The sequence below is a fragment of the Homo sapiens genome, chromosome 4 (assembly GCF_000001405.40).
Source record: "Homo sapiens chromosome 4, GRCh38.p14 Primary Assembly".
NCBI lineage: Eukaryota > Metazoa > Chordata > Mammalia > Primates > Hominidae > Homo > Homo sapiens.
In genome coordinates, this window is record NC_000004.12 from 37,862,938 (window position 1) to 37,875,097 (window position 12,160).

The window sequence follows — 12,160 nt, forward strand, 5'->3', positions numbered from 1 at the left end:
GTTCTGTCTGCATTTTTTTTGAGTACATACCCTTCACCCTCTCATGGAGTTTGTTTCTGGAAATACGAAGTTGATTATGACCCAATCCTGCTATGATGGAACTCAGTCTGATTGGAGGGCTAATAAGTAACAGCAATACTTACAAATTCTATCATAGTGTTTTTTACAAGTATTCAGCGTTCAGAAATCTGAGGGAGGGATTCATGCTGCCCAAAGAAAGCCTCATAGATGAGGTGCTGAATGAAATGCTTCACCCTTAGGGATGAGGAGCAGCTGAAGATGGGAAAGAAAGCCTTCCAAGCAGAGAGCACAGCACGGACAAAAATGTGGAGGCTGTAGCAAGTGGGGGTAGGGGAAGCAAGGGGAGATGACGAAAACAGAAGCCAAGATGGAAACTTTAGAATGCATCCCACCTCTCTACCACTCACATGAGCGGATGATTTCACTGGACCTAGAGGGGATGCGCCCGAACTCTATTTGTCGCCCGTATTTCTAAGAAATAGCTCATCCTGGCTGTTCATTAGGTATTTCTCAACTTCTTCCTGTTATGGAATGTAGGGTAGCCCACCTGCTGCATAAAGCTGGCAACAATAAGGCCACTGGGTTTTAATCTTGGCCTACTGTGAACCAGCTCTGTGACCTTGGTCACCTCTCAGAGTCTCAATTTTGGTCATGTTTTAAAAAGACTTTTTAAAGGGCGGTTTTAATTTCAAAACAAAATTGAGAGGAGTGTACAGAGAAATTCCATAAGCCCCACCTGCCCCCACACATACGTTGCCTCCCTTTATGTCAACAACCCCCACCAGGGTGATACATTTGGTATAATTGATTAACCTACACACATCATTATCACTTAAACTATGGAGACAGGAAAAAGATCAGGGATTAGGAGGGAGGGATGAATAGGCAAAGCACAGAGGATTTTTAGGGCAATAAAAATACCCTGATACCATAATGATGGATACATGTCATTATACATTTGTCCAAACCCATAGAATGTGCAACACCAAGAGTGAACCCTAAAGTAAACTGTAGACTTTGGGTGATAATATTGTCATTTTTAAAATGAAGATATTGGCTAGGTATGGTGGCTCACACCTGTAATCCCAGCCTTTTGGGAGGCTGAGATGGGAGGATCACTTGAACCCAGGAGTTCAATAACAGCCTGGGCAACATAGTGAGACCCCATCTCTACAAAAAGTCAAAAAATTAGCTGGGTATGGTGGTGTGTTCCTGTGGTCCCAGCTATTTGGGAGGCTGAGGTGGGAGGATCACTTGAGCCTGGGAGGTCAAGGCTCAGTGAGCCATGATGCGCCACTGTACTCCGGCCTGGGTGACAGAGTGAGATCCTGTCTCAAAAAAATAAGATATTTTACTAAATGGTCTTTGAGGTCATTTCATCCTACAGGTCTCTACATTATATGAAAATCCATAAAGGGCAATTATAGTAATAATAAATCATTGGGAATTCTCTTTGGCAGAATTCTTAGGTCACCCTCTTTTTGTTGTTGTTGTTGTTGGATGGAGTTTGAGTCTTGCAGCCCAGGCTGGAGTGCAATGGCAACATCTAGGCTCACTGCAACCTCCACCTTCCGCATTTAAGCGATTCTCTTGAACTATAGGCATGCACCACCATGCCCAGCTAATTGTTTGGGTTTTTGGTAGAGGCAGGGTTTTACCATGTTGCCCAGACTGGTCTCGAACTCTTGACCTCAGGTGATCCGCCCACCTCAGCCTCCCGAAGTGCTAGGATTACAGGTGTGAACCACTGTGCCCGGCCAGGTCACCCTCTTTTAAGATCTAACATCTCAGGTGGGAAAAATACTTTGTACGAAAGAAGGCAGGCTTGTGTTCCTATCTTGCTTTGCCTTGAAGCCTGAAGGGGATGAATGGGGACAAGCAAGACAGAAGCACATGGCATGCAGATGCTGGGAAAATGCTTTGCAGGGGCGTGAGCCGTGGTCACTGGCCTGTGATCGGGACTGAGAGCTGTCACAGCAGCCCACTCTGCCTTCTAATTGCTGAACTTAATTTGAGGAAGCCTGTTGATTTGAGTGTAGAAGGGGCAGCCCATTTTCTCTCAATGCCTTGGAAAGAACAGGCCCCGAGTTAAGTGTAGGAGACAGACTTGCAGGAGGAAATAACTATTTTTACTTTTCCTCTTTGTGGTCTCTGAAATAGCAGCTGTTCCTCTTTCCATTGGGGAACATTGGGAGTACTTCTCATTTATATCTCATTGATTTTCCTCAATCATGATGCTAGTAAGAGAAAGTATTGCTATTTCAGTGACATTGGAATCCCATGTGGTTTTAAAAACAAATGCTTTAAGTGATGGAATGAATATGTGTGTCCTGTTTTGAAGAGATTTTTGAAAGGATGGCCTGCATCTCAGTCGTATTTATGATTTCTGCATCCTAAAAGACTGTATCTTCAAAGCTATTTGTGCATTCATTTAGGTGTTTATTGATTGGGTCATGTTGGACACCCTGTGAGGAGCCAGGCATTTTTCTGGCAATAAACATGCAGTCCTGATCTAAAATATGGCCTAGCAAAAGAAATACACGTGTACACAGATAATTCTAATATAGTATGCTGCATTGAAATAGTCAAGTATTTGAACTATGGGCAAGCAGTTCTGCCATGTCCCCTTCTGTGCTTGTCTATTTTAAGACTACTAAGTTCAAATTCCTAACCTTTGTGTTTAAAACCACATGGCTCTGGGAGGCTATTTGCGTGTCATTCCCCTGGGTTATCCGTTTGTTCCATTCTTGCTACAAGCATATTTGTGTAGAGTAACTCAACCATTGAAAGCAAGATGTGCACTCTTAGGCAGATAACAATCAAAGTTTAAAATAACATCACTTCTTCTATAGACTTCTCCATGCACACAAAGCATAGTGACTACTCAAATTAATTGGAGGAGAAAGAATACTGGAGAGGCAAGGCCCTCCAACACCATGGTGCTCATGCTCAAGGTAATCAGGATGGAGAACAGTATTGGAGAATCTGGTGTTTTCCCACCTGGCTCCCTTGTGTGGATTCTTGTTGAGAAGCAGAGCTGTCAGCCACCTCCTGCTTGAGTCCAGTGAAGGCCACTTTAGTGTTTGGCCCAAACCCGGTGCGGAATGAAGTTGGGCACACAGACCAAAGAGCCAGCTTCAGGTCTAAACAGCTTTTGAAACCATTTCAAAATAGCATTGCACAACTTCCAAAGGGAAGTTAGGGTTGCAAGTTACAGAGATGACAGAGCCTGATTATCTCCTTAAAATACATTGTTCTGAACTATTTCACCTTAACTGGAAAAAGACAGTTTTTTTGTTTTTGTTTTTGTTTTTTGAGACGGAGTCTCACTCTGTCGCCCAGGCTGGAGTGCAGTGGCACCATCTCGGCTCGCTGCCAGTTCCGCCTCCCAGGTTCACGCCATTCTCCTGCCTCAGCCTCCCAAGTAACTGGGACTACAGGCACCCACCACCACGCCCGGCTAATTTTTGTATTTTTGGTAGAGATGGGGTTTCACCATGTTAGCCAGGATGGTCTCGATCTCCTGACCTCGTGATCCACCCGCCTCGGCCTCCTAAAGTCCTAGGATTACAGGCGTGAGCCACCGAGTTTTTTAAAGTCTCTAGGTGGCAAGAGTGAAATGGAGCTCCATTTCTGAGAGGTGTTTATTGGTTTTCTAAAACAAAAGTAAAATGTAGGTAGGAGCTTGGGCTAATTATCTCCTTTATGAGCTCAACAGGCTTTCTTTTTTTTCCTTTCCTAGTTGGTTCATTCCCTGTGGTGCAACGGTATCTCTGCCCCCTGAACGCTTCTTTATGTTTGTGGCTTTCATTATCCTAAGTGCAGAGCTACAAACGTCTCTCCCAAGCTCCATCTTCATATCGCCATTTCCCTACTTGGACTTTCCCACTCGGAAGTCCTCAAATTGCTTTAAATGTAGTCTGGCCTCAAGTTAGGTTTTCCCACTCAGTTCCCCACCTCCCTATCCTGCAATCTACTCTGTTCGTTGACACTTCAAAACACCTGCCCAGGACCTTTGGTGATTTTTCACTTGTCTTTTTCTTCTGAGAATGTATTCTTGCTTATCCTTTTTATGGAGAATGTCAAACTTATACAATCAATAGTACAATGGACACCAAAGTAGCCATCACCCAGCTCTAGCGAAACTCAATTCATGACCAATCTAGTTTCATCTGTATATTCCTTGCTCCCCATCTTTCCACTGGGCAATTCTGGAGCAAATCCCAGGCCTGTCATCATATCTGTAAGTATTTCAGTATTTATATCAGTAAATATTTCAGTATATATAAAAGATTGGGACTTGTTTACACACACTGATAGAGGCGAGAGGCAGGCAAATGCCTAGGCAGATAGGGGCAGGTTCCCAGTGAAACCCAACCTTCAAGCTGGAAACTGTCCCAGGTAAATCCTCAGAATGGATTGAGAACCCGCCTTCCCATTTGATGTGCTTTCCTCTGATTGGTCCCTATCTTTCACCTATTTTACATATACCTACTTTTTCCCCTACACTGTTGTGCCCACCTTTGAGTAGAGTCTTCGCTTTGATCTTTTTTGCATACTCACAAACCAATCAGCACACGCTCTGTATTCTGGGCCCATAAGAAAGCCCTGGGCTCAGCTATATTGGGGGAAACTTTCCTGTCTTCAGATAGGAGAACCACCCCCCACATCCCCTCTTTTTCCTGAGAGCTTTCCTTTTGCTTAATACATTCTACTCCACTCACTCTTCGATGTCTGCGTGCCTAATTCTTCCTGATGGTGAGACAAGAACCCAGATGTAGCTGAGTGAAGAAGCAAAAATCCTGCATCAACACAACCGTACTACCATTGTCACTCCTAAAAACGTTGACCATTCCTTAATATCATCAGTTATTCAGTCAGTGTACAAATTTCCCCATTTGTCTCATACGTTTTGTTTACACTTCGCTTGAATCAGGATTCAAATAACATCCACTCATTGCATTTGATGGACAGCCTCTGAAATCTCTTTCAGTCTAAACATTCTTCATCTCTTTAATTTTTCTTGTAATTTATTCCAAACTACCAAATCATTTGTCCTTCGGAGTTTCCTGCATTTTGGATTTTCTGGTTGTCTCCTCATGATGTGTTTAACATGTTTCTATTGTGCCCTGGATTTCCTGTGAACTAGTACAACTAAATCAAGAAGCATGATCTGATTCAGGTTTGATTTTTGGTTTTTTTTTTTTTGGCAAAAATACTTGATGGGAGCAGAGGAGGGTGGCACTCCTACCATCTAGTTGTTTTCAAAGTGCCAAGGATCAGTTATCAATGGCCAATGTGCCCTCTTCTGCTTTGCCCTACATAATGAAAGGGCAATCAGGTCAATGGCAATGGGAATCAGTTAAAAAGGAAACATGAATCGATGTGTCCTGTGTCACTCACACAGAATACTGTCAGACTGATGGAGGCAGGTCTCCCTCAGAAGCAGGCAGAAAGGGCTGATGAGCTATTTGAGGCAGGCTTGGTAATTTACGTCAAGCTTGATGAACGAGTACTGAATGCTCTCATATAGCTCTGTGGGGCTTCAATGGTTCAAAGAAAGTGATTTGTCACACCTTAGGCTCTTAGAGATTTCTTTTCGCTGATTATTTGTTCTAGGACAAAATACATTTCTGTGTCAGGTGAGATCAGCAAACAAAGGAAGAAATGTGAGCAAGTTGTGAGAATCCACAAAGAGATCTGATGAAGGCTTTGGTTGAGTGGATCAGCTGTGTGTTGGATGCAACCACAGGTCAGAGGAAACAGGGCAATATTCCTTCAGATGGTGTGTAACTCTGGTGTGCTGCCTGGAACGGGAACCATTACTTTTGTTGATAAGACACCAGGAGATTTAACTGAGGGTGAGTTTGTGCTGCTTTTGAGGATGGACTTGCTTGAGATCTATATTGTATGACTAGTCCAAACAGAAAGTATGCATTTAGGATCTTCTGTGAAAGGACACTGCACTGTGTGATGGCCATGGAGTTTGCCCTGGAGTCTGCATTTCTGTGGCAAGCAACAGGCTGGAGCGATTCCACAATGTAAGACAAAGAAAAAGATTCCAAAAGACATCTGTGATGTTACACAGTTTGGTCCGTGTTATTCTCTATCATCTATGTTCTATCATCAACTTCTTTTTTCTTTTTTTTTTTGAGATGGGGTCTTGCTCTGTCACCAGACTGGAGTGCAGTGGCGCGATCTCAGCTTACCTCCACCTCCCAGGTTCAAGCAATTCTCCTGCCTCAGCCTCCGGAGTAGCTGGGACTACAGGTGCCCGCCACCATGTCCAGCTAATTTTTGTATTTTCAGCAGTGATGGGGTTTCACCATGTTGGCCAGGATGGTCTCGATCTCTTGACTTTGTGATCCACCCGCGTTGGCCTCCCAAAGTGCTGGGATTACAGGTGTGAGGCACCGGCACCTGGCCCTCTTTTTTTTTTTGAGACAAAATCTCCCTCTTGTTACTTAGGCTGGAGTGCAATGGCTCGATTCCAGCTCACCACAACCTCCGCCTCCTGGGTTCAAGCAATTCTCCTGCCTTAGCTGGGATTACAGGCATGTACCACCACACCCGGCTAATTTTTGTATTTTTAGTAGAGACGGGATTTGGTCAGGCTGGTCTCAAACTCCTAACCTCAGGTGACCCACCCTTCTCAGCCTCCAAAGTGCTGGGATTACAGGCATGAGCCACCGTGCCCAGCCTCTGTCATAATTTCATCTCTCTCATCAATAGCAGAAATATTTGAGGCTTCTGCTTCTTTGAGAATTTCCAGTTAGCTGCACAAGCCAGAGCCTAGATAATGAGTGGAAACGTAAAATATTAGTGAAGTGTACTTCAAGTTGAATGGATTAATCCTGTAGACTAAAGAGACCCAGAACTTGTGGCCAACTATCCTTTTATTTGGGAGAATCTTGACTATCACAGTGATAAAAAAAAATATTGAATATACCATTTCTTGAATTTAGAAAACTTGAAAGGATGAAGAAGTTGAAGTATTATGCATTTGCTCACAAGCCGGAGCATACTGTACACACTGTTCTGCAAACACTTTTCAGTCCCTTAGTTAAAAGATAGACATTTGTTTTCAATCTTTTGCTAATACAATGTTGCTATGAATAACATTGTATATATGTCACTTTCCTCCCATTTTCCTAGAGGACAAATGCTATTTTAACAACTGAAATATCTTTTTGTTGTAGGATGGCATGAGATAATCCATGTGAGAACAATTTATAAATTGCTAAGTATATCATTGGACAAACGAGCAAATTAGATTTCTAAACTATGTTTCATAATTTCCCCATTTAGTGTGTGCAGCTCTGTTTTAGAAAACTGATATATTTTTTGCTGCCTCGTTTCCTGATATTGACAGTAATAAGTGAAAGAAAAGAATAATCAGTATCGTTTCTAATATTTGCAAACCATTTATCTGATAAGGGGTTAAAATCCAAAATATATAAGGAACTCATATAACTCAATAGTGAAAAAGAGTCAGACTTTAAAACAGGCAAAATTCATGAATGGAATTTTAAAATTTTTCATTGATACATAATATTTGTACATATTTATGGGGTATATGTGATATTTTATAACATGCATACAATGTGTAATGATCAAGTCAGGGTATTTAGGGTATCTGTTACCTAGAGTATTGATCATTTCTATGTGTTGGGAACATTTCTTCTTTTCTAACTATTTTGAAATATACAATACATTGTTTTTAACTATAGTCACCCTACTTTGCTATCAAACACTGGAACTTATTCTCTCTATCTAACTGTATGTTTGTGAAGTTAACCAACCTCTTTTGGTCCTCCACTGCCCCCACGCTTTCCAGCTTCTGGTGTCTCTCATTCTACTCTCTACCTCTATGAGATCAACTTTTTTTTTTTTTTGAGACGGAGTCTCGCTCTGTCACCCAGGCTGGAGTGCAGTGGCGCGATCTCGGCTCACTGCAAGCTCCGCCTCCCGGGTTCACGCCATTCTCCTGCCTCAGCCTCCTGAGTAGCTGGGATTACAGGCGCCCGCCACCATGCCCAGTTAATTTTTTGTATTTTTAGTAGAGACGGGGTTTCACCATGTTAGCCAGGATGGTATCAATCTCCTCACCTCGGAGATCAACTTTTTAAGCTACCATATATGAGTGAGATACATGTGATATTTGTCTTTCTGTGCCTGGCTTATTTCATTTAACATGACCTCCAGTTCCATTCATGTTGCTGCAAATAACATAATTTCATTCTTTTTTATGGTCAAATAATTGCATAGACATTTCTCCAGATACATACAAATGACCAACAGCTATATGACAAGGTGCTCAGTGTCACTAACCATCAGCAAAACTCAAAACCACAATGAGGTATTATTTCACACCTGTTAGGATGGTTATTATCAAAAAGACAAGAAGAGGTAACAAGTGTTGGTGAGAGTGTGGAGAAAAGGGAACCCTTGTACACTGTTGGTGGGAATGTAAATTGGCACAGCCATTATGGAAAACAGTATGAAGGCTCCTCAAAAAATTAAAAATCGAATTACCATATGATCCAGGAATTCCATTTCTGGGTATATATTCGAAGAAAATGAAATTACTATCTTAAAGAGATATCTGCACTCCGTGTTCACTGTAGCATTATTCACAGCAGCCAAGACAAGGCAGAACCTAAGCGCTGATGAATGATGGATAGAGATACTGTGATATACTATTCAGCCTTAAAAAAAGTAGGAAATCGGCCGGGCGCGGTGGCTCACGCCTGTAATCCCAGCACTTTGGGAGGCCAAGGCTGGTGGATCACGAGGTCAGGAGATCGAGACCATCCTGGCTAACACGGTGAAACCCCATCTCTACTAAAAATATAAAAAATTAGCCGGGCGTGGTGGCAGGTGCCTGTAGTCCCAGCTACTCAGGAGGCTGAGGCAGGAGAATGGCGTGAACCCGGGAGGCGGAGCTTGCAGTGAGCCGAGATCACGCCACTGCACTCCAGCCTGGGCAACAGAGCGAGACTCCGTCTCAAAAAAAAAGAACAACAAAAAAAGAAGGAAATCCTGCCATTTGTGACAACATGGATGAACCTGGAGGACATTATCCTAAGTGAAATAAGCCAGACACAGAAAGTCAAATACTGCGTGATCTCAAATGTGGAATCTAAAAAAAGTCAAACTCATAGAAGCAGAGCGTAGAACGGTGGTTACCAGAAGCTGGGCCATGAAGGGATTGGGAAGATGTTGTTCAAAGGGTACACACTTTCACTTATAAGATGAACAAGTTCTGGGGGTCTAATGTAGCACATGGCAACTATGGTTAACAATACTGTATTGTATACTTGAAATTTGCTAACAGAGTAGCTCTCAAATGTTATCACACAAAATGGTAACTAGATACAGTGATCAGTGTGTGTTAACTGACTTGATTGTGGTAATCATTTCACAATGTATTTGTATAAAACTCATCACATTATATATCTTACATTTATACAATTTGTCAGTTATACCTCAATAAAGCTGCAAAGAAATATCATTTCTAGGTTGTGCCCATCACAACCTGTAGGAGTTAAGATTTCAGCCTGAGTTTCAGTTTCAATTCCAATACCACTACTTTCTATGTAATACTGAACAAGTTTTCTAACATCTCTAAACTTTAATTTCTTCCTCTATAATGGGAATAAAATCAAATTATTTTTTCAAAATCATTGTGAAAACCATTTTTGTTTCAGTTGCCTTAGATTATAGAGGACACTAATCAGTGATTAGGGAAAAATTTAAGATCATCAGTAGAAATGGATTCTCTACTGGTGAAAACACACAGGAGATATTAGGCCACATAAAAGACATGCAGTTGTACTCATTATTGTTCCTGCCTACATAAAAGTTTGCTGGAGAAAAAATGAGACTCATACAGGAAGTATTGAAAGACAATATTAGATAATTCTTTTATAATCTTAAAGAGGGAAAGGCTTTCTAACTATGACTCAAGTTATTTTTTTAAAGACTGAAAAATTCGCCTACATTCAATAAAATCCTCTGCAACAAACTAGGAAAAAATATTTGCAACTGTGTCACAAACAAAGGGCTTATCTCCCTAATGTAAAAGGAGACCCTAGATATCAATGCCAAAAAAAAAGAGTAATAACCTAATAGAAAAAGAGTCTAATGAGATTCAAAGATAGTTTAAGAAAAACACAAATGACTTTTAAATATATATATATTTTACATGCCCAAGAGAGTATTTTTACCCCTGTTTCCTGTGCCATTTTAGTGGTATACTCAATTCCAATTCTTTCTGTGATTACTCTTAAAATCTTAACATCTGTACTTGCTGGATCAAGTCTAAAGTTGTTATCTCTAGCCTCCACCCAAAAAATACAGGAAATTTAATTTTTTCTTAGATAATACATTCAAGTGGCATAAAGTTCAAAAAGTGCAAAGGGTAAACAGTGAAATAAGTCCAGCGTATCCCTAGTGCAGCCACCTAGTTCCCATGCACTAAGGCAGACATCTTTGCCAGTTTCATGTGTATTCTTCCAGAGATCTTATATGTAAAACAATTATATGATGAATTATTTTGGCTTGATTTCTTTTATCCAAGTGGTAGGACACTGTACACACTGTTCTTCACTCTAGTTGTTTAACCTAGCAATTGTGAAATCATGTTTGATGTTTGCAATGACTCACTTTCTCCTCCTGTGTAGATGGAGTGTATGAGAAATTCATTGTTATAACCCACTGGGATTTTGCAGTTGTTAATGCAGAAAATCTAACTCATATAGAAATACATTTATTGTATATCATACTCAAAAATATATTTTGTTGTTTTTAATGGCTAAATGGTATTCCAGTATATGGGTGTAATATAATCTATTTAATCTGTTCCCTTGTTGATGAATATTGAGGTTGGTTCTAATTTATGCTGTTTCAAACAGTGCTGCCGTGAATAATCTTGCCATGCATCATTTCACAGCTCTCTCTCTCTCTGTTGAGTGTGTGTGGGTGTGTATGTGTGTGCACACGCACATGTTGCATGCAGGATAATCCAAAAACCCTTTAAAATTATTAAAAAAATTTTGAGACAGGGTTTCCTTCTGTCACACAGGCTGGAGTGCAGTGGCATGATCACAGCTCACTGCAGCCTCTACCTCTGAAACTCAAGCAATCCTCTCACCTCAGCCTCCCAAGTAGCTGGGACTATGTGCACACGCCATTAGGTCTGGCTTATTTTTGTATTTTGTTGCTCAGGCTGGTCTCAAATTCCTGGGCTCAAGGGACCCTTCCGCCTTGGCCTCCCAAAGTGCTGGGACTACAGGCATGAGCCACTGCACCTGGCCTATAATTACAATTTTTGAAGGTTAATGCTTATGTAGATTCACCAATCTGTTGACGTTGTTTTAATCTTGGTCTGAAAATGTCTTTAGTCACCTAATAACAGTTCTGTTAGGTAAAGGACCTAAGTTGATGTTTATTTTCCATGGCATTTTGAAGTTACTATTGGATAACATTCTGGACTTTCTTGTTTCTGACCAAAGTGGGTTGCTAATCCAGCTGTTATACCTTTATAGGTAGTCTTTCTTTTGTTCTGATTACTTTTTTAAAAAGTATCTTTATTGATCTATAATATACATATAATAAAGTGCACAAAATCTTGCATGTACAGCTCAGTGACTTTTTACATACTTATAGAGCATGTAACCAGGAAGACATAAAACAATCTCAATATCTCAAAGGATACCCTATGCCTCTTCCCAGTTGGAACCCTCCCCTTAATCACCAGAAATAACCACTATTCTGACAGCTAACAGATAGATCAGTTTTGCCTGATCTTGAACTTCACATAAGTGAGGCTGTATGTTTTGATCACTGTGATTGCCTTTAAGACTTTAGTCTTCGGTGTTTTGCAGTTTTATTAGGCACATATTTATGATTTTCCACTTCTTTGTCTCTGTGCTACTTTCTTGGCAACTCCATCGGAGCAGTCTTCTAGTTTACTACTCTCTCTCTTTTTTTTTTTTTTTTTTGAGATGGAATCTCGCTCTGTTGCCTGGCTGGAGTGCAGTGGCGCAATCTCGGCTCACTGCAACCTCCGCCTCCTGGTTTCAAGCGATTCCTCTGCCTCACCACCCAAGTAGCTGGGACTATAGGCGTGCGCCAC

General features: G+C 41.2%; 1 pseudogene, besides 1 other annotated feature; it reads left to right on the forward strand.

Annotated features, from left to right (window-relative positions):
- HNRNPRP3 (heterogeneous nuclear ribonucleoprotein R pseudogene 3) lies at positions 5,357–6,134 on the forward strand (annotated as a pseudogene).
- Positions 10,531–10,825: a silencer, noted in NCBI's record as "tiled region #10943; K562 Repressive non-DNase unmatched - State 23:Low". NCBI's record gives its function as "represses a minimal TATA promoter and a strong SV40 promoter by Sharpr-MPRA in K562 cells {active_cell/tissue: K562}" and the evidence as "EXISTENCE:reporter gene assay evidence [ECO:0000049][PMID:27701403]".